Genomic DNA, 27,521 nt, shown 5'->3' with positions numbered 1-27,521 from the left:
AATTTGAAATAGAATGGCCTCCTTTCAGGAACTGAAGCCCAACTTTAACTCATCTCAATCCCCCAAACTGGATTAAGGTGATCTAGGATTGCTCCTGTCTCAAATTGACTTCCCAAAGCCAATATAAACTCTTTCTAAAGAAAATACTTTAGGTTTCAAGTTATTTATACAGTTTTTTTATTTACAATGTCAGGAACTTGCTAAAAACTAGCCAAGTGTAAGAGAAGCCAGGACAAGATGATTGGAAATTAAGAAACTCAATACACAATAGAAAGAGACTTACAGGTGATCCAGATAATGGAGTTATCAGGAACAGACTTTTAAAGAACTGTCTTTAACATGTTCAAGGAAATTAAAATAAGACTGAGAATTTGGCAGTGACTAGAGATAAATATGAAAAAAATAAATTTGTGGAAAATGTTTTTTCAAAAAGAATCAAATAGAAATTCTGTAATTACAGTACCCAAATTAAGAAATCAGTGACAATAATGAATGTTGACTAGAATGTGGAACAGTGGGAATGCTCATATAGTACTAGAGTAAGTATAAGTACAGTCATTTTGGAAATGAGTTTGTAATTATCTGCTACCATTGAGTATACACCACGTTTATAATCAGTAAAAATGTATGCACATTGCACAAAGGGACATGTAAGAGAATATAAATTAGAATTGATTTATAAGAGCTCCAAAGAAACCCAGATACCCATCACAGGAATGGATAAGTAAATTGTTGTGTTTTTATATAATGGAATGTTATACAGCTATGAACATGAACAGACTGTAGCTACATACAGAATATGGGTGAATGTCACAAAGATAATGTTGGCAAAAGAAGCCAGACAGAAAAATATATATTGTATTATTCTACTTTATGAGAAGTTTGAAAGCAAATGAAACTAATTTCATTCATGTGTGTACATATATGTGTCTAGGAAATGCACTAAAATGTTAACAGTGGTTATTTCTGATAGGTGATTTCATTTTCTTCAATAACTTCTTGATTATCTTAAATGTAGACAATGTGCTACATTTCTAATGAGAACAAAGTTATTCCGAAAATATGGCATTCCTATAACTTAGGATAAAAATGGTATATACAAAATGAAAAACTCATTTTCTTAAAACTTTGTTTAAATTACCTTGGTAGTCTCAGCTACTCAGGAGGCTAAGGCAAGAGGATTCCTTGAGCCGAGGAGTTTGAGTCCACAGTGCACTATGATCGTGCCTGTGAATAGCCACTGCACTCCAACCTGGACAACATCATGAGACCTCATCTGTAAAACAAACCAAAAAACCTTTTGGTATATTTACTGTATTTACTCCTAGCCTTCTTTTCTATGACGTTTTTAGGTGAGATCACATAGTATATGTAATTTATTGTGCTGCTTTTTCATTTTAAATTTATATTACATGCCATCATTACTTCTGCAAGTTATTCGCTAGTTGTCTGTCTGCCTGCCTCCTTCCCTCTCTTCTTCTCTTCTTCCCCACCTCCCTGCCATCTTTCTTCCCTCCCTCCCTCCCTCTTTTCCTCCTCTGCCTGCCTGCCTTCCTTCCTTCTTCTATTCTTTTGTCAGCAAACATTCATTATGTTCCTTCTGTTTGCCAGACACTTTACTCAAACACAGCTTTACTGAAACACAGCTCCACCCTCCAGTGGGGGAGATGGATACCTAGCAAAAAATAAGGGGTGCTAAATACTTAATTTTATGTGTATAAACACACACACGTCTGTTTTTGAGGCATGGTCTCATGCCATGCTGGAGTGCAGTGGCACGATCATAGCACCTTGTAACTTTGAACTCCTGGGCTCAAGCAGTCCTCCTGCCTCAGCCTCCCTGGAGGCTGAGAGTACAAGTGCATGTCAGGATGCCTGGCTGCTTTTTCTATTTTTTGTAGAGAAAGGGCCTTGCTGTGTTCCCCAAGCTGTTCTTGAACTCCCGGCCTCAATCAGTCCTCATGTTGGGATCACAAGCATGAGCCACCACACCCAGCCTATACATGTATATATTTAGAACTCATTTTTCATTAGGAAAAATACAAATTGAACTCATCCTGTACTAGCATTACCAAGAATCCTGTGGCATACTCCTGTGAGTGACTATGCTATAGGTTCTGGTTGTACCAGCAGTGGAATGAGGCCATATGTAATATTGATGACCAGGTGCCTTGGGAAGGTTTCTGTGCAGGTGCTGCTCTGTGCAAGAACATTTATTGTAGTTGTTTTGGCTGAGGTTGAGGATTTTTTGTTTGGCTTTTGTTTTTAAATGTGAGAGGTAAATTTTGCAAGGGATTAAGCCTAATGACACCTAGGGACATCTGGTTATAAATATTACCTATTTTCCTGAAGGAAAAACCTATTCAGATGCTCCCTGGCATGGATCTGTTAAGGGCATGTAGGCTCCTCCCTCATTCATCTCCTTTGCCCGTCAAGGAGGAGAGTGGAAGACTCTTTTCCACATCTGAGTCCTTAAGGGGGCCTTAAGATGGTCTAGGACAAGAGTTGGTAAATTTTTTTCTATAAAGGACACGTTAGTAAATACTTTAGGCTTTGTGGGCATACGGACTCAACTTTGCCGTTGTGGAGTGGGAGTAGCCATAGACAAAACATAAGTGCATGGGCCTGGCTGTGTTCCAGTAAAAATTTTATTTACAAAAACAGGACATTTATGAAAACAGGACATGGGCTTGGATTTGTTTTATCAGGCCATAGTGTACCGACCCCTGGTCTGCACAGAAGGACTCTAATGTCAGCAACCATAGGGACTTGTACTTCGTACTGCTGTGACACCCATAGGGATACCTCTTGCCTTGTTTCTGAGGAAGTTAATAAAAAGGTCAGGCTCGTTCACCTTAATTTCAGTCTACCCCCACAGTTCTAATAAAAAATGTTCTGATCAAAATGGCTCTTTGGACAACAAAACAGCAAAACAGTCTCCAGCCTCTCCTAAACCCTGAAGCAAACCTGCAGTCCTTTGGCAAGGTCATCCAAAGATTTTAACTGCCATAAACCATAGGGGTAGAGACTGAAGCTAAGAATGATAGATAAGGGGAAAGTACTGGCTTTCAAACAGTAGTAAAAAGTGGTATGATAAAAATTGTCCTTAAGACTCACTGAAATGCCAAAAGAAGAAATTTGTTTTACAAGCACTCTTCCATATTAGGAATTCTTTCTAAATATCATCTTAAATTTAAATATACATAATTTAAGAGTGTTTTAATATTAAAATGTTTACATTTTTAATTATTTTAAATGCGGTTATTAGCAGCTTTCTGCATAATTTTTATATCATATTTTGATTTCTTTCTAACAGAGTCTCAAAGATATAAGTATTATAATGAAGGGTATGAACAGAATTAAGGTTCGTAATATATATTGCAAATTGCTTTCTAGAAAGATTGTGCCAACTTATACTTCTACTAGCAATGTGTGACAGTTCTTATTTCAGCATATACTTTCTAGCACTACTTTTTTCTTTTTTTCCTAAAATATCTCATATTTAGTTTGTAAAACTTTCCTATGGATAAAAATTAGTTGATAGGAGCCAGTTGGCAGGGCAGGTTTCACTTTGAGCTGTTGCCTTTATCTGTTCTGTTATTCTGGGATTGATCTGCAGAATGCGACTAGCAATAGATTCTGATCAGGCTACTACAATATTTGCCATCTGGATTGAAAATACAGCCATCATCTTTTGAATGACCAGTTTGTGTAAACCATTTGTTGACAGTGTCTTTCCAGTGGTAAAGCAGAATTTCTCTTTGTCTGTCTGCCTTTCTTGAGAGCTATGATGAGGATTTCTAAGGCTTGATGTATAGAATCCTTTCCTTAAGTGCCTTGTCCATTTGGTGCTGTGTAAGGAATACTTGAGACTGGATAATTTATAAAGAACAGAAATTTATTTCTCACAATCTGGAAGCTGAGAAGTCTGAGATCAAGGCACTGGCATTTGATCTGACACGGGCCTTGTTGCTGTGTCATCCATGTCAGAAGAGCTGAAGAACAAGCTAGCCAAATGCTATGCTAAGCCTCTTTTGTAAGGGCCTTAATGAGGGGGGACCCCTCCCGGCCTAATCACCTCCTAAAGGCTCCACCTCTTAATATCATCACATTGGCAATGCCTTAATTTTGGAGGGAACACACTCAAACTATAGCATTAAGATATGGGAAAGGAACAAGAAAGAGTCTATTTTTCTTTGGTGATCTGTTTAAGGAGTAGATGTGTTTCGTTTGCATCACATCTATGTACAGTATTAAAAATAAAATGTATCTCTCTCTCTCTATATATATATAGATATATACACTGAAACCTTTACTGTCTTTCATTGTCTTTCTAGTTTTTAAGGATAGGAAATTTTAGTTAAAATGCTAGCCTGGCATTTTTCTTATTCCCCACTTTTATTTCCCCCATGGGGAATTGGGTTATGAAACTGGAAATTTTATTAATTTTCCAGAAATTGTTCTGGTGGGTTTGTGTAAGGAGGAGAGTAATAACTGGCATGGCATTGCAGTTACTCTTTATTTATAATTAAGACATGCTCTTTATTTCAAAATATTAAGTTAATAATACTCTTAACTTATTGCACTTAAGTAGATTGAGACAATTTGCGATTTATTTTGACATCCTAATAAAGTGGATAAAAGGAGAAGCTGCTTGGAAAACTTTCCCACTTGGGAATTTTTTCCACATTCCTAATTTTCCTTTGTGGAATGTCACTCACCATTTCCCATTTGGAACTGCTCTTTCTAGATAGTAGATGGAATGGAGTGGTTGCAGTGGTGGTGGTGGTGTTACTGTTTACATCAACCTAGAGAAAAATGGAAGCATCTTAACTTGGTTAAAATGTTTCTGTTGTTTATATAATTCTTTAAGCCTCATTCCAGTGTTGCTGCTATTAAAAAAAAAACAAAAAACTAAAAACTTGCATTTCTTTTACTGATCATTTTGTAGACATAGAAATAAGAGATTCTCAGCATAGTAGAATTTTTAAAAATTAATGGATTTTTTTAAAACCAAAATTTAAGAACATAAATTGCATTGAAAAGAATTTTGAAATTTATTCTCAGCAGAATCTGTAATAAAATACATGGGCCGGAGAATTAATTTTCAGGTCAAGTTCTTTGTCTATATGTTGTTGATGAAGTTGTTTTCTTTCAGCTAAGTAACAGTTTGGAATTCTAAAACAGAGAACTCATAATCTTCAACCAAGTGTTTATTAACATTTACTTTCTTCAAAAGCTTTTTCACCATGCCACTTAGTTAAAAAAAAAATAACAATCTTAAAAAAATGAGACTGCTTATGTGTGTGTGCATGCACATATTCATTTGCAAATTATGTACATATACTTCTATACTTACATATTATATACTCTATAAAACATAATAGAAATTTTTAATTATTAGAAAGACATAATCTTGATAAAATTAACTTTAAATTTGATTTATTGGCAGTATAGTCAATTTTTTGTTTTCACTTTAACATTGTAATAGTCTTTATTATTTAATAGTTTGTCACACAGTAATTTAAACTGATTCAAAGTTTACTCCAGGCCAGGCACAGTGGCTCATGCCTGTAATCTCAACATTTTGGGAGGCCAAGGTAGGAGGATTACTTGAGGCCAGGAGTTAAGACCAACCTGGGCAATATAGCAAGACCTCATCTCTACAAAAAATTAAAAAAATTAATCAGGCATGTGGCACATGCCTGTAGTCCCAGCTACTCGGGAGGCTGAGGCAGGAGGATTACTTGAGCCCAGGAGTTCAAGGTAATAGTGAGCCAATGATCATACCGCCACTACACTCCAACCTGGGTGACAGAGCAAGACCCTGTCTCAAAAAAAAAAAAAAAAAAAAAAAAAAAAAGTTCATTTCAGTCTTATCCAACAATTACATGTGATGTTTTTTGTTGAAATTTGCATGATGAATTTTCATCCTCCATAATATCATTCAATTCTTACATTTAGTGATTGCAGTACTAGTTTGTATATTTAGTATTCCATGCTATTTTTTAAGCTCAAAATACTAGTGTTTTCATTGATTTAATACTGTTAATTTAGAAACAACCAGTAATTGGCTGGGCACAGTGGCTCATGCCTGTAATCCCAGCACTTTGGGAGGTGAAGGCGGGTGGCACACCTGAGGTCAGGAGCTCGAGATCAGCCTGGCCAACATAGTGAAACCTTGTCTCTACTAAAAATACAAAATTAGCTGGGTGTGGTGGCACATGCCTATAGTCCCAGCTACTCAGGAGACTGAGACAGGAGAATTGCTTGAACCCGGGAGGTGGAGGCTGCAGTGAGCTGAGATTGTGCCACTGCTCTCCATCCTGGGCAAGACAGAACAAGACTGTCTCAAAAAAAGAAAAAAAAACCAGTAACCTTGTTCACCTTTTGTGGTTTTCTGTCTAGTCTGAGTTTTTCTCTCTAGCCTGTCCCCTAAGCTCTCCTCTCTTCTACTTTTCTGCCTTCCCCTTCATTTCTGACACCCTCCTAGCTCTACTTTACCACCCAATTGTTCCAGCCACTACCCTCCCTCCCAACACACTACACACACACACACACACACACACACACACACACACAATAAAGAAAAAAAAAGTATTGATTTAGAGGGACCCCTCAGAAGGTGGCAAGTTTCTCTGTTGGGGGAAGGAGAAGAGTTGATAGACAGAACAATTCTTGGGCAGGCATGTTGGCTCACACCTGTAATTCCAGCATTTTGGGAGACAGAGGCAGGAGGATCAGTTGAGATCAGCCTGGGCAACATAACAGCCCCATCTCTACCAAAAAAAAAAAAATTTTTTTTTTTAATTAGCTGGGCACGGTGGTGCACACCTGGAGTCCTAGCTTCTTGGGAGGCTGAGGCAAGAGGATCACTTGAGCCTCTTGTTGCTGCTGCGAGCTATCAGCGCACCACGGTACTCTAGCCTGGGCGACACAATGGAACCCTATCTCAAAACAAACAAACAAAAAAAGACCTACAATTCAGTAGCTTCTGTACAGAGTGAAGGAGCTGCCTAGCTGGTCTGAAAGTTCCATTGGAGGAGTACTAAACACTTTAGGAAGGTCCTGAAGTCTTTCTGGACTGATTACTTGAGAGGTGTCATTTTGAAAGACACACTGGGTGGAAGTTTACAAAGGGTAAAGAAGCATTGCATACAGTCATATTGAATACTTTACGTTAGAATCATAACTGTTTAATGTTTATGTTTTTATTTTTTAATGTTTATGTTTTATATATTAATGTTTTATTTGATACTTTATAATGTTTGTAAATTTCCACATTTGAAGTATGTTGAGTATTTAATTTCACTGATTTCTAAACATTGTTACACTTCTGCACACTTTTCAATTAAAATATTAGTATTAATACTTGCATTACATGGAGTAAATACCTAGACACTGGTAGTGCAATTTGCTTTAGAATTATAATTATTACTTTGATTTTTCTGTCATGTTTAATGTCAGGTTCAAAGACCATTTAAATTCTTCATTTGGAAGTTTTTAAATCTTAGAAAATTTTGAATCCATGTGTGTGAAATTGCAGATGGGAGTTTTTATTGGTGACAGACATGTTCAGCAATAAAACCATCTAACAATGGAAACATTTCTAAACATTTATTATCAGAATGTTCTTTGTGTAACATGTTTTTTTTTTAAAGCAACTACTTTCTCAGACGATTAAAATACCATCTTTATCTTGAAGGGAGATAAATTAAGTATGTGGGATGGGGTTGTTTTTGTTTTTAATATCTGCTGTGTACCTACGTAGCATACTATTGACACCTATGTGTCGTCGTAGAAAAAGTCTTCAAATTCGGAGCAGTTGTTTCTTGTAGAAGAAAAATAGGTAGCTTGTTTAAGTTTGCCACAACATAACCAATACATTTCTGTATGATACAAAATATTTTTGAGTCTCTCTACTAAATTTTGAAAGGATGTGTCCACTTAAAATCTATTTTTAAAGGCTTATCTTTGGTATATCACATGTACAAAGAAGTGCATTGTATATGTACAATTTAAGAAATTTATAGGCCAGTATGGTGACTCTTGCCTTTAATCCCAACACTTTGGGAGGCCAAGACAGGAGGATTGCTTGTGCCAGAAGTTTGAGACCAGCCTGGGCAATATGGCGAGACCCTGTCTCTATAAAAAAATTTTTTTTAATTAGACGGGCATGGTGGTGTACGCCTGTGGTCCCAGATACTTGGGAGGCTGAGACTGAGGCAGGAAAGTTGCTTGAGCCCAGATGGCTGAGGCTGCAGTAAGCCATGTTAATGCCACTGCACTCTGGCCTAGGCAATAGAGTAAAATCCTGTCTCAAAAAGAAAGTAAGAAAGAAAGAATAATAAAGCCAACACCCATCCAAGCAACATAAGGTCAAAACACAGCAGTAACCTAAAAGTTCTCCATGTGTCCTTCACCAAACACATCCTCCATCCTCCCTAGGGATGACCACTATCTTGACTTTGTATAATAATTTCCCTACGCTTTATAATAGTTTTATTGTCTGTATATCCCTAAATACTGAATTCAGTTGTACCTGGTTTTGTACCTTATTTGGGGTACAGACCTTCTTAAGAGTGATGGCATTGTTATTAAATTTCAGAGAAGCATAACTGGTCAGTAGGAGGGTGGAGACAGATGTATAAGCCAAAAATTTTTAAGGAATTTAAGGAGTGGAACCTAGAAAAGGTGTTAGGTAGAAATAAGGTTTCTCTGTTTATACATGTATTAAATGAAAATATGAGGTTTGACTCATATTTTAAAATATTTTGTACATTTTGCTTAATATTAAAAGCATTTTTTCTGTGGCATGACCATAAATATTTATAAGGTAAGACAAATATGACTTATTTATTTTTAGTGTGGCACAGCTGAACTACATTTCAAATGAGAAGTAACATTGATAGGGAGCAGTAATGTGAAACTATGTTCAAAAAAAGAAAGCCCAAGTTTCAAAAGTCTTATTCTGAATATTGTTCTCTGTATAGTATTGTTTAATTTTAAAAGTGTTTTCAGATCCAACTAAAGTTCAATTTAAAAATATAGTTATATTTTTTCTTCTCAAATGAAGCTTTAAGCATATGTTTCTAATAATTCAGTTAAATATGCTGAGTTGTATATTTTTTGAAGAGAATCTGTTTTGAAAAGATTCCAAAATATTTGTTTGAACAGGCACTCAGCATCTCGATGAAAACTGTTGGAAAAGAAAAACTTTCAGAGTCATTCTGCCCTCAGAGTAGTCAAGCCAACTAAACTGGTACAGTTAACACTTCTGTAAGAAACCAGGAGCCAAGAAATTTAGCACTTCCTGACTGCTTTTCAGCAAGCAGGCCTCAAACCAACTTAGTGGTTGGAACCAATAATATTGAATTTTTAAAGTAAAAGGCTAGCAGTAGAACATCTACATCTCTTTCTATCAGTATGATATTTATCAGTCTCTTTTGGTAATCCATGACTAGCTTCAATCTTTGCCTTATGTTGGTATTAAAGCTATCATTCTTTCTTGAATTTTGTAGGGCATCATTTTTGCAAAGCAAAAAGAGAATGCACTATAGAGTGTGACCCCAGGTATAATTAAACCATCTGCCAGACATAAATATTTTTATGTTGCTTTTTAGTACCACTGAGTGTCATAGTGGAGATGCAAATTATATTGGACATCATAATGCTTTGGGATAATTGGTAGTTACAGCAGACTACCAAATTTACAAGTAGGGATTGCTTTTTCAGCTTCTGATCCATTCATTTTTATTATATCCCTTTGAAATATATTGACACCACTTAATTCACTTAACAATAATATGCTTATTGTCTTAGTTCCTTTTATTCTGCTGTAACAGAATACCTGAGACTGGGTAATTTTAAAAGAACAGAGATTTATTTCTTATAGTTGTGGAGACTGGGAAGTCCAAGGTCAAAGGGCCCACATGTAGGGAGGGACTTCTTGCTTATCACAACATTGTGGAAGGGCCAAAGAGTACGTGAGAGAGGGTAGGGGAAAGGAAGGGAACTGAACTCATTCTTTTACCAGGATCCCACTCCTATGATATTAACCTGCTCCCAAGATAACGTCATTAATCTGTTTGTGAACTCAGAGCCCTCATGACCTAATCACCTCTTAAAGGTCCCACTGTTGGGACTGTTGAATTGGAGATTTTCTTCCAACACATAAACTTTGGGGGACATATTCAAACCACAGCACTAGTATATATAATATGTCATATTGATCCCTATATCCACATATTTGCTCTATAAGTGCTCTATTTACATATTCATTGAGTTGACCTATATAGTACCCAGCATATTTAGGTTTTGCGGTAGAGAACAAATAGTAAAAGATTCAAAGATTCTGTATGCTAACTAGAGAGATAAAACTAAGTTTAACACCTCTGCTACCATTTCTCAAATATCACAGAATTAATAAGAAAAATAGCAGAAATTAAATGTTCAGTCACTTGGCTTTTCAAGTACTTCCCACAAGATTAGATTAACGGCTGGGTGAGGTAGCTTATGCCTGTAATCCCAACTCTTTGGGAGGCCAAGGCAGGTGGATCACCTGAGGTCAGGAGTTGGAGACCAGCCTGGCCAACATGGTGAAATCCTGTCTCTACTAAAAATACAAAAATTAGTCAGGCATGGTGGTGCACACCTGTAGTCCCAGCTACTCTGGAGGCTGAGGCCAGAAAATTGCTTGAACTCAGGAGGTGGAGGTTGCAGTGAGCCGAGATCGCACCACTGCACTCCAGCCTAGGCGATAGAGTGAGACTCTGTCTCAAAAAAAAAAAAAAAAAAAAGATTAGATTAACAGTATCTCCAGAAATGGTTACCATATGTTACTACATTTTAAGTTCCTTTCAGAACCATAAGTATAGAGGAGTTAGTGGAACCAATGATAAATCTGGATTTTTTTTCTTCTTTCTTTGGATCTGTGCCTGAAATGGCAAATTATGTGCAATTTGGGGCACAGTGTCACTTATGATTTCAAGGAGCCTAAGAATCAGCAGAGGGATACAGTCTTTTGATAAAACTCTGCCTGGTCTTTTCATTTTGGATAGTATATTACTGGAAACTTCAGAAGAAAATGAGGGAGTTTCAGAAAGGAACTGAAGAGGTTGATGACTGAAAAGGATGATTGAACACCAAAATCTGCAGTTGATTAGGATGCAGACGTGGAAAGGAAGCATGTATATAAATAAAAGGGTATGTTACTAAAATCCGCAAAAAGTAGAATGAGGCAAAATATCTCCATTGTCATGATGTTCCATTTTATACTGAGTTGGATAAGTCTCATAAGGGATCTGATAGTTGAGGTCACTAATCCTTAATACATGAACCAAGGAATAAGAATTCTGTTTATCATAGGAAATAACTTGGGCCCATAAGGAAGGAGTAGAGACTCTTCAGGAGAGGGACATTTTAGTCCATAATTTCTCTGATTTAGTGCCAAAAGCTTTTTTGAGAGACTATTCAAAGCTGTCTTAAGTTTCATTGTTGGAAATTGATAGCTGCTGTATTTCTTTTTAATAACTGTTTTAAGTTCTTTCTGTTTTGTCTTCTCGGTTGCTAAATTCCTGAAGATTACAAAAAAAGTGTGCTTAAAGTAAAAGTGTTATGAGACAAAAGCTTTATTCTGTGGATAGGATAATACTTCTTTTGTAACATTTTCTGTTTGCACCAAAAGTGAGAAGTCAATGCCTTGCCTTTGTGCATCCCATTACTAATGGAGGATAAGAAGTTATTTTCTTCAAAGGCTGACTTCCAGAATTTTTGGCTGAACACTTTTTGTCAAGTGTATATTCCCTTTGTAGGCCTTTCTGTATAGAGCCCACAAACATCGTGAATGTGAATCATGTCATTCAGAGGGTTAGTGACCATGCCTCTGCCATGAACAAGAGAATTCATTACTACAGCCGGCTCACCACTCCTGCAGACAAGGCACTGGTAAGAGACAAAACATTACTAATAGTCTAAAATTCAGTTGAAATGAACAGTGAACAATATAAGCCAGGGCACCTCCCAGTGATTGAACTTCTTTCTGACTGTATTTCAAGGACAGCATCATGCAAAGTCAAAGATAGTAATTAACACACATCCTACATCTCAGGCCAGTTCATTCTTATCTAAATTTGAAACAATGTTTCTATGTTGACAACAACCTGGAGATTTTTTTGGATTAAATTCTCCTGATCCCCATTCCCCAAATCTCTGAGGAGGATAAATTACTTTTGAAATGGCAAGTTAGGCCATTGACTAATAGCAAATAATAACATGTTCTGCTTAGTGTGGACAATTTTAACTTTGAAGCTGTAAGGGAAATATTTTTTTAGAAATTTTCTACAAGAATGGGAAACTGGCCAAGCACAGTGACTCACTCCTGTAATCTCAGCATTTTGGGAGGCCAAGGCAAGAGGATCACTTGAGCCCAGGGGTTCAAGACCAGCCTGGAGAAGATGGTGAAACCCTGTCTCTACAAAAAAAAATTTTTTTAATTAGCCAAGCATGATGGCTCGCACCTATAGTTCCAGCTACTTGAGAGGCTGAGACAGGAGGATCCCTTGAGCCCAGGATGGATCCCTTGAGGATGCAGTGAGCTGTGATTGTGCCACTGCATCCCACCCAGACTGAGCAAAAGAGTGTGACCCATCTCTTTTTTTTTGAGATGGAGTGTCGCTCTATCACCCAGGCTGGAGTGCAGTGGCGCAATCTCGGCTCACCACAACCTCTGCCTCCTGGGTTCCAGCCATTCTCCTGCCTCAGCCTCCTGAGTAGCTGGGGTTACAGGTGTGCGCCACCACACCTGGCTCATTTTTGTATTTTGAGTAGAGACACGGTTTCACCATGTTGGCCAGGCTGGTCTTGAACTCCTGACCTCGTGACCCACCCACCCTGAGGTGCTGGGATTACAGGCGTGAGCCACTGTGCTCCCAAAGTGCTGGGATTACAGGCGTGAGCCACTGTGCCCGGCCATGTGACCCCATCTCTTAAAAAAAAAAAAAAAGAAGAATGGGAAACTGAAATATGTACACATAAATATAGTAGTTTCTTATTTAGCATTATTCTTTTATTGATCAAAACCAGGAGTCAAAGAGCCAGATACTAAATGTCTTAGACTTTGAGGTCACATGATATTCTTCATTTTGTTTATGATCATCAAAATTATAAATTATAAAATTTATAAAATTATAAAAACCATTCTCAGGAAAGAGGCTGTATAATAATCAGGTTGAAACCAGATTTGGCCTATGGGCCGGAGTTTGTTGACCCTTGATCTTCTAAAAATCTCTATTACTATTTTAGGATAAAAAATATATATAAGTAATTTGGTAGTTTATAAAAACTACCGCATATGAGATAGTCAGAAACTTGCAAGTTTAACTGAAAATAAGAACATTCTGGGAGAAAACAGGATTTTGAAATTAGTATTATTAATAAAAAGAAGAGAACCAACATTCATTAACATTTAATAAGGACCAGTGATTGGGCATCACTGGAATGTAGCTATCTCATTTAAGCCTAAACAATAGCTATGTGAAATAAATATTAAGATTTCCTCTTGTATGGCCAAAATAGGGATTTCCAAAATGTTCTGGGTAGGATAATTTTTTTCCCAATTTTTTTTTCGGCTTTTTCCCCTTAGGCCTTGACATCAGTAGTTGTGGCGAAGTCTTAGTTCCATAATGGAATTACTTAAGCCCTTGGAGGAGTAGAGATAATCCTGTATCTCTGGGTCTAGTTGAGACCTTCTAGAGGCTCTGCTCTTGGAAACAAACCTCCAAGATCCCAGATGAGCAAGTTTATACCTGCATGTATATTGTTTGCCTGGAAATAGAGTCAGCATGTGCACCAAAGTTGAATGCCATTTGTTAACTGACACTGAGATGAGTCTAGGAAGTCAAAATATATAAACAGTGATGTAAAATTGACAATGATATAACCATTCTTAATGAATGTGTGTATACATCCACACTCGTTTTCTGAAAATCCCAAAACTATTTTGGATTTTTAAACTCTTGCTTTTTTAGTTAGATTTTCTATATTTGAAAAATAATTTTTAAATTCACTAATCAGGGATGCATAGTACTTGCATCCACACTCGTTTTCTGAAAATTCCAAAATTATTTTGGGTTTTTAAAACTTGCTTTTTTAGTTAGTTTTTCTATATTTGAAAAGTCATTTTTTAATTCACTAATCAGAGATTCATAGTACTTGTTTATGATAGTTAAAATGTGTCTAGAGGGCCAGGCGTGGTGGCTTACGCCTGTAATCCCAGCACTTTGGGAGGCCGAGGCGGGTGGATCATGACATGGTCAGGAGATCGAGACCATCCTGGCTAACATGGTGAAACCCCGTCTCTACAAAAAAATACAAAAAATTAGCCAGGCGTGGTGGTGGGCACCTGTAGTCCCAGCTACTCGGGAGGCTGAGGCAGGAGAATGGCGTGAACCCAGGAGGCGGCGCTTGCAGTGAGCCGAGATCGCGTCACTGCACTCCAGCCTGGGCGACAGGGCGAGACTCCGTTCAAAAGAAAAAAAAAGGTGTCTAGAGTCAGGTGTTCTGATGTGTAACAAATATCCTATTTTGCATTTCCTGGTTCTGAAATTTATCTATGTTTCCTTTTTACCAGATTGCCCCAGACCATGTAGTTCCAGCTCCAGAAGAGTGCTATGTGTATAGTCCATTGGGCTCTGCTTATAAACTTCAAAGTTACACTGAAGGATACGGTAAAAACACCAGTTTAGTAACCATGTGAGTGAAACTGCTTTTTGGAGCATGACTTAAACTGTATATGGATGAAAATTACTGGTTTTTTAAATTTTTGTCTCAATTAAAATGTTTGAAGAGTGAAACTCCATTTTTTTACTGCTATTACTCTGTGTTTTCAGTTTTATGATTTGGAATACCATGATGGGAACATCTATACTAAGCATTCCTTGGGGCATAAAACAGGTAATACTAATTTTTCAGCACACTTTTTGCCTAAATGTTTTTCTCTTTATATTGTAAGTTTTATAACAGAGGTTTTAATAAATCTACATAAAATTCATTAAAGAAAATAGATGGTTATATTTAGTTTTTCATGAGTTGTCAAGTTTTTATCATGATTGTTTAGGGTAAAATAATTGCATATGAATTTATGCTTACATGATGATATATGCTGTTTTATACTTTTATTTTTAAACAGGCTGGATTTACTACTGGAATGTGTGTCATCATACTGATGGGCCTTTTAACACTTTATTGCTGCTACAGAGTAGTGAAATCACGGACTATGATGTGTAAGAATTTGACACAGTGACAATAGATTATGGGTATTAATAAGCATTTCCCTTTGAGGCAGATCACTAGTGTGTATATGCTACATGTGTGTCAGCTGTCTACTTTGTACCTAAAGATTTACTTCTGTAATTCATCGCTTTCAGCTAAATTGATTTGCTAATAATATTTAGTGGCTGCTTTTGAAATTCAGAGAAGCTGGGAGTTATTTGCAGAGTGCATTCACTTTGGTGCTAGTTTCTTCATAAGAATCATTTAAAAACTCATATTTATAAAATAATGTCTTTGCCAAAACTAAATTGAGAATTCTGTGCTTCCTGTCAGTTAATGGTGACTTGTTTTGACCTATTCATACCAAAAGATCTAAATGTTAGAATCTGCTAAAAGTAGAAATTATAACTAGAAAAATATGAAAATGTAAGCAACTCCCTAGTAATGAATATTTGAAGTTGTGTGAACACCTTACCTCTACTCGTATCTACAAATTCTGGATCAGGGAAATATCTTTTTTAGGTTGTTTTAAAGTAGTCTAGGACCTAAACAAACATGCATTATTTCATTAAATCTTAGCAAGTATGAATCAACAGGCCAGACTTTGCCTCCAGTTTTTTTCTGTGCCTACTAAGCAGCTTCCTTCTTTATGTTAACCAGATCTCCTATTAGTCACTGGGCAAGTATTTGTTTAAAAGTCTTGAGAAGCCAGACCTGGTGGTGTGTGTCTGTAGCCCTAGCAACTCAGGAGGCATAGGTGGGAAGATCACTTTAGCCCAGGAGTTTGGGGCCAGCCTTGGCACTGTAGCAATACTTCATCTTAAAAAATAAAAAATAAATAAAAAATAAAAAAGTCTTGAGAGAAGATTCATTCTGGTTTCTAAATGGTAAGAGGAGATAATTTTAGCCTCTGGTTTCTAAGGCAAATTGTGGCTGAACTTGGAAGACTTCTTTAAATGTATACAGTAAGTTCATGTCTTATCTAATTCAGCATCTCATTTAAAATTGGAACAGAGCCCCCACAGAGTTCTCTCTATAACTGTTTTTTCTTTTATTTTCCTTTTTTTTGGAGACAGGATCTCACTGTCACCCAGGCTGGAATGCAGCAGCGCTATCACAGCTCACTGCTGCCTGGACTTCCCGGGCACAGGTGATTCTCCCACCTCAGCCTCCCAGGTAGCTGGGACTACAGGTGCATACCACCATGCCCAGTTAATTTTTTGTATTTTTCATAGAGACAGGGTTTCACCATGTTGCTCAAGTTGGTCTCGAACTACTGGGCTCAAGTGATCTGCTCACCTCTGCCTCCCAAAATGCTGGGATTATTGGCTCTATAACTGTTAACTTCCATGTTATTAAACTACTCCACACCATTTAAAAAGAAGAGAGGCTGAGGCACGAGAATTGCTTGAACCCAGGAAGTGGAGCTTGCAGTGAGCCAAGATTGTGCCACTGCACTTCAGCCTGGGTGATGGAGTGAAACACTGTCTTAAAATAAAATAAAATAAAATAAAAATAATAAAAAGAAGAACTTCCACCAATTCATTTTACAAAGTCCACACACCCCTAACACAAAGCCTGACACTACCAAAAAGAAAGAAAATAATATAGAAACGTAAAATTTATTTGTAAAACATTATCATATAGAATCCAACAGTATATCAAAACATATCCTGTGCCTAAGATAAGGTTTATTCCAGTAATGCAAGGATGTTTCATTATTAAGAAATCCAACATAATTCACTACATTAACAAATTAAAGAAAAATTCATAATTACATCAATAGATATCAAAAAGGCACTTAATAGAATTCAGCACCTGTTTCTGATTAAAACTCTAAGTGAAAAGCACTACTTAAAAATAGCAAAGTCTATTTATTCCCAGACAAGTACCGGCACCATTCTAAAATTATGAAATGCTAAAGCAGTTTTCATTAAAGTCAAGAAAACATAGAAATATTCATAATTAATCAGTTTTTTTTGGAGATATTGTCAAATGCAGCAAAAAAAACCCTAAATAATATAAAAACTAGAAGAGACTTAGAATTATATTATCAGTCAAAAGATAATTTTATTAGAAATGCTAAGAGTCACTCAGCTCAATGCAACCTCCTCCTCCCAGGTTCAAGCAATTCTCATGCCTCAGCCTCCCGAGTAGCTGGAACTACAGGCGCCCACCACCACGCCTGGTTAATTTTTGTATTTTTTGTATTTTTATTTTTTTTGAGACGGAGTCTCACTCTGTCACCCAGGCTGGAGTGCAGTGGCGCGATCTCAGCTTACTGCAAACTTGGCCTCCCAGGTTCACGCCATTCTCCTGCCTCAGCCTCCCGAGTAGCTGGAACTACAGGCACCCACCACCACGCCCGGCTAATTTTTTGTATTTTTAGTAGAGACGGGATTTCACTGTGGTCTCGATCTCCTGACTTCGTGATCCATCCGCCTCGGCCTCCCAAAGTGCTGGGATTACAGGCGTGAGCCACTGTGCCTGGCAATTTTTGTATTTTTTGTAGAGATGGTGTTTCGCCATGTTGGCCAGGCTGGTCTCGAACTTCTGACCTCAAGTTGATCCACCTGCCTCAGCCTCCCGAAGTGCTGGGATTACAGGCATGAGCCACCGTGCCCAGCCGAAACAGTTATTCTTGATAGTGATATTGTCCTCATGTTCTTTATCTAGATGTGAATTCTCATATTCTAATGTCCCCAACTTTTCAGGCTTATGACTGCTTTCTGCCATGTACTAGCTGCCATATTTTGCTTCAAAGGTGGCAGAACTTCAGTTTTTCTGTATTCATCAAACATAATTATTTCAAAGTAGTTCAAAGCATGGGATCATAGAGGAAAAAAGACTGTAAAATTATCCTTTGATGACAATTAAAATACTCTTTCATAGGTTATACTTATCTATATTCTTTCTTGAACATTGAAATGTAAAACAAAAAGTTTATATTACTAATATAATAATCCTATCATGGAAAAGCAAATGGTTTTAGTTTTTTGTTTTCTTATGTAAATTTCTATCCTAAATGATAGGAATCTCTAAATACATGCTTTTTAAAGTTAATCATATTGTATTTTAGTTGTCTTCTACTTTATCACCTATTTTTTAGTACATGTTATGTTTCTACGATCACCATTTGTGTCTCTTAATGATTGTATACAGTTGCACACGGCAGCTCTATTGTATTTGCATAATCATTGCCCTAGGTCTTATGTTAAAGTCATTGCTAGTTTTTGCTATTCTAAAGAATACTCTTCTAAAAATATTTTATATATACTTTCTGTATTCTTTTAAATTACTTTCTTTTTGGTGCAGTGGTGGGATCATGGTTCACTGCAGCCTCAACCTCCTGGTCTCAAGGGATCCTCCCACCTCAGCCTCCTGAGTAGCTGGTACTACAGGTGCACGCTGTCACGCCTGGCTAATTTTTGTATTTTTTTAAATATGGGGTTTTGCCATGTTGCTCAGGCTGGTCTCCAACTCTTAGGCTTAAGCATTCTGCCCACCTCAGCCTCCCAAAGTGCTAGGATTACAGACCTGAGCCACCATGCCCAGCCCTGTTTGTCTTTTTCATTGTAATTTGTTTCTTCGGTTGCTAGAAGATAAACTTTCATGTTCTATTTCTACATTATGTTTTCTAACTTTTTTATTATTTGATTTCTTTCTTTTGTTTTTTTTCTTTTTTTTTTTTTGAGATGGAGTCTCACTTTGTCATCTAGGCTGGAGTGCAGTGGCATGATCTCAGCTCATTGCAACCTCTGCCTCCCAGGTTCAAACAATTCTCATGCCTCAGCCTCCAGAGTAGCTGGGACTACAGGCGCGCCACTATGCCCAGCTAATTTTTTTGTATTTTTTGATAGATATGGGGTTTCACCATGTTGGCCAGGCTGATCTCAAACTCCTGACCTCAAGTGATCTGCGTGCCTCGGCCTCCCAACGTGCTGGGATTACAGACATGAGCTGTCGTGCCCGGCCTGTTTGACTCAATTTTCTGAAATTTATATTGGCATGTGGTAGAAAGTGTGACTCAAGAAACTTTCCGCAATGTTGTTATCTGAATATGCCAAATATTAAGTAATATTTTCTGGCCCTTACTGATGCATTTGTCTAACCTTAGTTTATCACTTGCTTTTATGAATTATAAAATGTTATGATACTATAATCTGTTTCTCAGGTTATCTGTACTATTTTATCTACATTTCTTTTATTTTTCTATAATGTTTTAATTTTATTATCTTATAATATATTCTAATGTCTAGCGATAGAATACCCATAATCTTTCGCCAAATATTTTGAGTTTATTTGGGGAACACAAATTATGAATATGGAATATATGTTCAACATTTAGTTTTATTCTTTCTCTTATTTTATCTAGTTTCGTTGGATACCACTAGCTGGGAATATCCAGATGTCTGCAGACATTATTTCGGCTCCTTTGGGCAGTGGTCGAGTCTCCTTTTCTCCTTGGTGTCTCTCATTGGAGCAATGATAGTTTATTGGGTGCTTATGTCAAATTTTCTTTTTAATACTGGAAAGTTTATTTTTAGTAAGTATCTATATCATATGCTTTTAACACAGTACTTTCAAATACTATTACCACTGTAATGTTAGTTCTAGCCTTAAATTCTAGGACTTGGGATAAATAAAATAAGAAGTAACATATATAATTTTGGAAAATATATTTTATTCAGTTGGCTTTCTGTGGTTGTGCTCTCAAATATAGTGTATGCTTATTTCCAAACATTAATCTTTGAAGGAATAATATTCCTCCAAAATCTTTAGTTAAAATAAAATATGTCTATAATCCAACAGATCTTTTAAGTTTGTTTCACTAAAGAATTTGGTATGTAGACTCTAGGGAAAACAAATTTCAGCCACTTATTTTCAACATGTTAGGATATAAGATTAGGAAGTCAAAGAATAATGGAATTTATGTGATAAATATATTATTAATATTTACATATCACAGAATTATAATTTACCCAAATCAGCTACTTAAATTCTGAGGAGAGTCTTAGAAATCAGTCCAAATACTTCTTATAATTTTTTTTAGGTTAGATAGAGGAAGTTCATTTTTTTAATTAATGAATTTTTTTTTCTTTTTTTGAGACAGGGCCTTGCTATGTTGCCCTGGCTGGTCTCAAACTCCTGGGCTCAAGTGATCCTCCCACCTCAGCCTCCTGGTTACAGACTCACGCCACTGTACCGAGCTGGAAGTTTATTGTAAAAGATACCAAACCTTTTTCTGTATAAAGGTTTTACTAAAGTTTTCACTAAACCTAAAGTTTAATATATGTTTAGCAGCTTTAAATAAAGCATATATTTAAAATCTGGATTTACGTGAAAACCAAATTTCAAAGTAAGTCCTAACATAATCACAACAGCTAATTTCCCTAAGAGCCTTTGAATGAGGGAGATAAATTCTATTTCATTTTAAACATTAAAGAATAAAATTAGCTTTATAATTTTTATTGCCAAGCATTTTTATTTTTTGAGAGGTTTTTTGGAGACAGAGTCTTGCTCTGTCACCCAGGCTGGAGTGCTGTGGCGCGATCTCGGATCACTGCAACATCCACCTCCCAGGTTCAAGTGATTCTCCTGCTTCGGCCTTCCGAGTAGCTGGGATTACAGGCACCCGCGGTAACACTCAGCTAATTTTTGTATTTTTAGAGATGGGGTTTTACCATGTTGGCCAGGCTGTTCTCGATCTCCTGACCTCAAGTGATCCTCCCACCTCGGCCTCCCAAAGTGCTGGGATTACAGGCATGAGCCACCGCACCTGGCCCCAAGCATCTTTATTGTTTAAAAAACTATGAAATATTTCAAACTACAAAAAATGCAAAAGCTAATATAAATACCAGTATACTGACTAATGAGTTTTTGTGTCTCATTTTGTCATATTTTTATTAGATCTCCTTTTTTTTTTTTTTTTTTTTTTTTTTGTAGAGACAGAGTATCAGTATGTTGCCCAGACTAGTTTCTACCTCCTGGCCTCAAGCGATTCTCCCACCTCAGCTTGCTAAGAGGCTTGAATTATAGGCACAGGCCAGGCACGGTGGCCCACGCCTGTAATCGCAGCACTTTGGGAGGACGAGGCTGGTGGAACATCTGAACTCAGGAGTTCAAGACCAGCCCGGCCAACATGGTGAAACCCTGTGTCTACTAAAAATACAAAAATTAGCTGGGTGTGGTGGCACATGCCTATAATCCCAGCTACTCGGGAGCCTGAGGCACGAGAATCTCTTGAACCTGGGAGGCAGAGGTTGCAGTGACTGAGATTGCACCACTGCACTCCAGCCTGGGCAACAGAGCAAGACTCTATCTCAGAAAAAAAAAAAAAAGAATTATAGACACAAGCCACTATGCTTAGGTAGTTCTGTATTCCTATAAAAAGAAAATATTATGGATAGAGTGGAAGCCCCACATGCACTCCTTCTCAATCTCATTTTCCTTCTCTGAATTTGGTGTTTATCAATCCCATGCACTTTTTGGACTTTTACTACATGAATATATGAGCAACATACACTATTTGTTTTGCATTTTTTTTTTTTGGTTTTTTTTTGTTTTTTTGAGACGGAGTCTTGCTCTGTCACCAGGCTGGAGTGCAGTGGTGAGATCTCGGCTCACTGCAATCTCTGCCTCCCAGGTTCAAGCGATTCTCCTGCCTCAGCCTCCTGAGTAGCGGAGATCATAGGCGTGCACCACCACACCCAGCTAATTTTTGTATTTTTAGTAGAGACAAATTTTCACCATGTTGGCCAGGATGGTCTCGATCTCCTGACGTCGTGATCCGCCCACCTCAGCCTCCCAAAGTGCTGGGATTACAGGTGTGAGCCATGGCACCTGGCCGCTTGTTTTTAATCTACATAAACGCTTTTGCAACTTGCTTTCTGTCTTTCATCATCTCTGTTAATACACAAAGTTCATTCTGATTGCTTATAGTATTTAGTAATATGAATATACAACTTTTTTATCTGTTCTCGTTGATAAACATTTAATTTGTTTTCACTTATTGTGCTATTACAAGCAAGGCTTTATTAAACATCCTTATTTCTGTTGCCTTGTATACATGGGGGAGAATTTCTCCAAGTTATGGACCTTATAGACACATTTCTGGAATTTAAGATATTCACATTTTCAACCTTACTTGAAATTGCAGAATTGTTCTTTATCATGCTTGTACTACTTACACTCCTGCCAACAGTTTATGAAAGTTACCCTTGTTCCACATCCTCACTCACACTCAGTATTATCAGACTTAAATTTTGCCATCAGGATGTGGTTTTAATTTGCATTTCTCCTCATAAGGAGTGGCATTAATCATCTTTTCTTAATTATATTGACCATTAAATAGCTTATTCATATCCTTTGCCCATTTTTCTATCGGGTTGTTGGTCCTTTTCTTACCTATAGGAACTCTGTAAAGTTCGGATACTAACCATTTATCCATTATTGTGTTGCAAATATCTTCTAATTAGTGGCTTGTCTTCTCTTTTTATATGGTAGCTCTGTGTTATTCAAAAGTTTTTTATTTTAAAATTAGTGTTTTTCTCCATTATGATTCACAACTCTTCCATATACATTTTAGAATCAACTAATCAAGTTCCACAAAATTCCAATCAGAACTTGACTGGAATTGCATTGATTTTATCAGTTGGTACACCGTATAGTAATTGATATTGTAGCGTATTGGGTTAGAATTTGATTGACATTGCACTGGATTTATTGATGTGGAGAGAATTGATATCATTTAGATACTGAGTCTTCCTTTTTTTTTTTTTTTTTTTTTTTTTTGAGACGGAGTCTTGCTCTGTCACCCAGGCTTGAGTGCCGGGGCGAGATCTCGGCTCACTGCAAGCTCCGCCTGCTGGGTTCACGCCATTCTCCTGCCTCAGCCTCCCCAGCAGCTAGGACTACAGGCGCCCACCACCATGCCTGGCTAATGTTTTTGTATTTTTAGTAGAGACGGAGTTTCACCGTGTTAGCCAGGATGGTCTGGATCTCCTGACCTCATGATCCGCCCACCTCGGCCTCCCAAAGTGCTGGGATTACAGGCGTGAGCCACTGCGCTCGGCCTAGATACTGAGTCTTCCTACTCATGACTTTGGCATGGCATAGTTCTTTGTTTATTTAGGTCTTTAAAAAAAATTTTAAGTTTTTCTTGATAAAGATCTTGTGTATCTTTTTTTTTGGACTTTTTCCTCGGGATCTTAACATTTTTTCTGTAACAGTAGTTCTAATATACAAATATGCAGTTTTTATTATAAAAAATCTCAAACACATACAAAAAAACAGAATAGTATAATTTCTCCTTACCTAGTTTTAACAGTTATCAACATTCCGTCATTTTTAAATCATCTATAGTAGTGTTTTTCAACCATTTTTTCATTATTGTCCCTTCAAGGAGCCTTTTAGATATTTTTTTCTGATCACCCCCCCCATGAAATTTTAATACCAAAGATATACTGTAAATCTCTTTATGAACTGTATGCATATATATGCTTTATCTGTAGGAAGAGTTTCTTTCACACCCTGAGAATGAATTTTGTGCTTCTTGAGAGTAACATCCATTAAGAAGACATAATCCATGCTATTCCCACTCCCCACCTAGTTCAGCTATTAGTATATGTATAGTTCTTCTTTTAGATAGAATTTATTCATTGAAATAAACAAGTCTTAATTATACATACATACATCTATACACCTCCTTCAAGAAATAGAACATTTCCATCTTCCCAGAAAGTAATGATAAATTTTTGATTATACATTCAAATTATTTGTTGCTGTTATAAAAGAACCTAATTACATTTTGAATGTTTTTTTGAGACAGAGTTTCACTCTTTCACCCAGGCTCTGGGGTGCAGTGGTGTGATCACAACTCACTGCAGCCTTGACCTCTCCAGGCTCAGGTGATCCTCTCACCTCAGCCTCCCGAGTAGCTGAGACTACAGGCAAATACCACCACCATGCCCGGCTAATTTTTATATTTTTTGTAGAGACAGGTTTCGTCATGTTGCCCAGGCTGGTCTTGAACTCCTGAGTTCAAGCAGTCTGCCCGCCTTGGCCTCCCAAAGTGCTGGGATTACAGGCGTGACCCACCGTGCCCTGCCCCTTGAATGTTTATCTTTAATCTAGCAAACTTGCTGAACTCTTACTGATTCTAAAAATTTTGTAGCCGGGCGTGGTGGCTCATGCCTGTAATCCCAGCACTTTGGGAGGCCAAGGCGGGCAGATCACGAGGTCAGGAGACCGAGACCATCTTGGCGAACACGGTGAAACCCTGTCTCTACTAAAAGTACACAAAAATTAGCCGGGCATGGTGGCGGGTGCCTGTAGTCCCAGCTACTTGGGAGGCTGACGCAGGAGAATGGCATGAACCTGGGGGGCGGAGCTTGCAGTGAGCGGAGACCGTGCCACTGCACTCCAGCCTGGGCAACAGAGCTAGACTCTGTCTCAAAAAAAATAAATAAATAAAAAATAAAAATTTTGTAGATGCACTTTGTGTTTCCTTTTTAAATAATCATATCATCTGTGAATTAAAAAAGCTTTCTGTTTGGGCTTAGTGGCTCACGCCTGTAATCTCAGCACTTTGGGAGGCCAAGGCAGGTGGATCACCTGAGGTCAGGAGTTTCAGATCAGCCTGGCCAACATAGTGAAACCCCGTCTCTACTAAAAGTACAAAAATTAGCCAGGCGTGGTGGTGGGCACCTGTAATCACTGCTACTCAGGAGGCTGAGGCAGGAGAATGGCTTGAACCCAGGAGGTGGAGGTTGCAGTGAGCCAAGATCGTGCCACTGCACTCAAGCCTGGGCAACAAGAGTGAGACTCCATCTCAAATCAAAATAAAATAAAAAAAAAAACCTTTCCAGTTTTTTTAATAGTTCATATATGTATACATACATTTATATTTATATACGTATGTAATTATATATACGTACACAGACATATACGTATAAATGTGTATCTATATGTATATATTGATGGTTTTTTTTTTAATGTGAAGTTGCATTGAAGCGGTGCTTGTAGATATCCTTATATTGTTCATAAGGAAATCTTTCTGATGTTTCACAAATATTATGTTTATTGTGGGATATCAGTTGTACCCTTTAATAATTTAAAGACATTCCCGCCTATTGTCTACTTAAGTATTTTTATTAAAGTGGTTGAATTTTATCAAGTATTTATTCTGCATCTCGAGATAATCAAAAGATATGAAGAGACAATCAAGAGATTATCTTAATTAAATTTCCTCCTTTATCAATATGATGAATTAAATGAATACTTTTTGTAAAATTTAAACCATCCTTGTATTGTGGGGTAAACTTAAATAAGTTCATTAGTCATGACATATTTTTCAAATGCCTTACTGGATTGAATTTGCTTTTTTGGAGGGGTAGGAGCTAATATTTGTTTAGATCTTTTGTGTCTTTTCCTAACAAATATTGGCCTATGGTTTTTCTTTTTCATGCTGTCCATGAACCTTGGTGTGTTAGTTTCCCAAGGGTGCAGTAACAAATTACCATAAATATGCTTACAACAACACAGATTTCTTCTTTCATAACTATGGAGACTAGAGATGTGAAATCAAAGGGTGAACAGGGCCCTGGTCCCTCCTAAGGCTCTAAGGAAGAATCCTTCCTTGCCTCTTCCTAACCTTTGTTGGTTGCTGGTGGTCCTTGGCATTCCTTGGCAAGTAGGTACATCACTCCAGTTTCTCCCTCCATCTTCACATGGCCTTCTTCCCTCTGTGTGTCTGTGTCCAAATTTCCCTCTTCCTATAAATTGGGCTGGGCGCGGTGGTTTATGCCTGTAATCCCAGCACTCTGGGAGGCCAAGGCAGGCAGATCACCTGAGGTCAGGAGTTTGAGACCAGCCTGGCCAACATGGTGAAACCCTGTCTCTACTAAAAATACAAAAATTCAGTGGGTGTGGTGGCAGGCACCTGTAATCCCAGCTACTCGGGAGGCTGAGGCAGGAGAATTTCTTGAACCTGGGAGGTGGAGGTTGCAGTCATGCGACTCTACCCCAGCCTGGGTGACAGCAAGATTCTGTCTCAAAAAAATTAAAATAAAATAAAATAAAAGACATCAGTCATTGGCTTTAGGGCCCACCCTAATCTATTATGACCTCATCTTAACTTGATTGTATCTACAAAGACTCTATTTTTAAATAAGGTCACATTCTGAGGTTTCTAGTGGACATAAATTTGGGGTAAGGGGAATGCTATTTAACCCAGTACACTTCGTGTCAAGATTTTACTAGCCTTACTGTAAGTCTTTGGCATCAAGAAATTACACAAAGATTCATAAATTCCAATCTTAAATCATAAACAACCTTTGGAGATATTATAAAAACCCAAAGTACTATACTGTTTCTTTTATTCTATCTTGAGAAACATACGGTGAAGATGAATAATTTAACTATTTAACTTACTTTTATGACCTTAAAACCTAACCCAGCACCTTTTACTATCTTATTCAAGTTTCACAACAAATACTTTTATTAATGCTTACTCAGGTTATAGAAGGTTAATATCAAACAGAATAAAGTAAACCCCCTGAGGCAAGTAAACACATTCTCTGCCTGTTCTCTCTTTCACTGTAGAATGATGAATGCTCAGCCATCTGCATGTGCTTTGTTCTTTGTTACTTCCTTTAGTCTAACTCAGTGGTTCTTATGTAAATAACAATTCGTATATGGCCTTAGATCTATAAAAGTATGTATTGTACTTTGTAAAAAAAAAAAAAACTTTGATTTTCCAGGTAAGATCAGCTGTGTATGAGTGTTGGTTTCCCCTTTTTGCACACTTTAGAACTGTACTCTGTGTGAAATATAACTTTAGTGTGAGGATAAGAGAAAACTTACATACATATCTTTATTCCGGGGCTTTAAACTATCATTAATTCAGTGTTGTGGATAGATTTTTTTGAAATCTTCAATTTACACGTAAAGATTTTCCACAGTGGAACTGTGAAGACACTAACATTATCATGCCCATAAGTGAAGAAAACTATAGAAGGTGAAGCTATGTTAACAGTGAAGTAGTCTTTGTTCAGTGTACTAGATTACTACACAGATATTAAAAGATTTTTATAGGCTGGGCCCGGTGACTGACTTTGGGAGGCCGAGGTGGGTGGATCACGAAGTCAGGAGATCGAGACCATCCTGGCTAACACGGTGAAACCTGTTTCTACTAAAAAAATACAAAAAATTAGCCAGGGGTGGTGGTGGGCGCTTGTAGTCCCAGCTAC

The 27,521-nt window shown here is 37.4% G+C and overlaps 1 protein-coding gene across 47 annotated transcripts in view; it reads left to right on the top strand.

Moving 5' to 3' along the window:
• The window catches only part of SLC38A9 (solute carrier family 38 member 9), an 86,491-nt gene that overhangs the window by 27,827 nt on the left and 31,143 nt on the right, over positions 1 to 27,521 (top strand). For 33 of the 47 annotated variants that reach the window (NR_146165.1, NR_047649.1, XR_007058583.1 and 30 more), the window contains 5 exons: positions 11,814 to 11,946; positions 14,630 to 14,751; positions 14,889 to 14,952; positions 15,188 to 15,281; positions 19,646 to 19,816. Coding sequence is in view for 43 of the 47 variants with exons in the window: in XM_017009082.2 (XP_016864571.1) it covers positions 11,814 to 11,946; positions 14,630 to 14,751; positions 14,889 to 14,952; positions 15,188 to 15,281; positions 19,646 to 19,816 (584 nt within the window). In the remaining 4 variants the exon portion in view is untranslated. The remainder of the gene's footprint in view (positions 1 to 11,813; positions 11,947 to 14,629; positions 14,752 to 14,888; positions 14,953 to 15,187; positions 15,282 to 19,645; positions 19,817 to 27,521) is intronic. The other 14 variants (XM_047416799.1, XM_047416796.1, XM_047416789.1 and 11 more) reach the window with 2 other exon arrangements.

This window comes from Homo sapiens, chromosome 5, assembly GCF_000001405.40.
Source record: "Homo sapiens chromosome 5, GRCh38.p14 Primary Assembly".
Lineage (NCBI taxonomy): Eukaryota > Metazoa > Chordata > Mammalia > Primates > Hominidae > Homo > Homo sapiens.
Note: the sequence above shows the minus strand (reverse complement) of the source record. Positions and strands in the feature narration are given on the sequence as shown.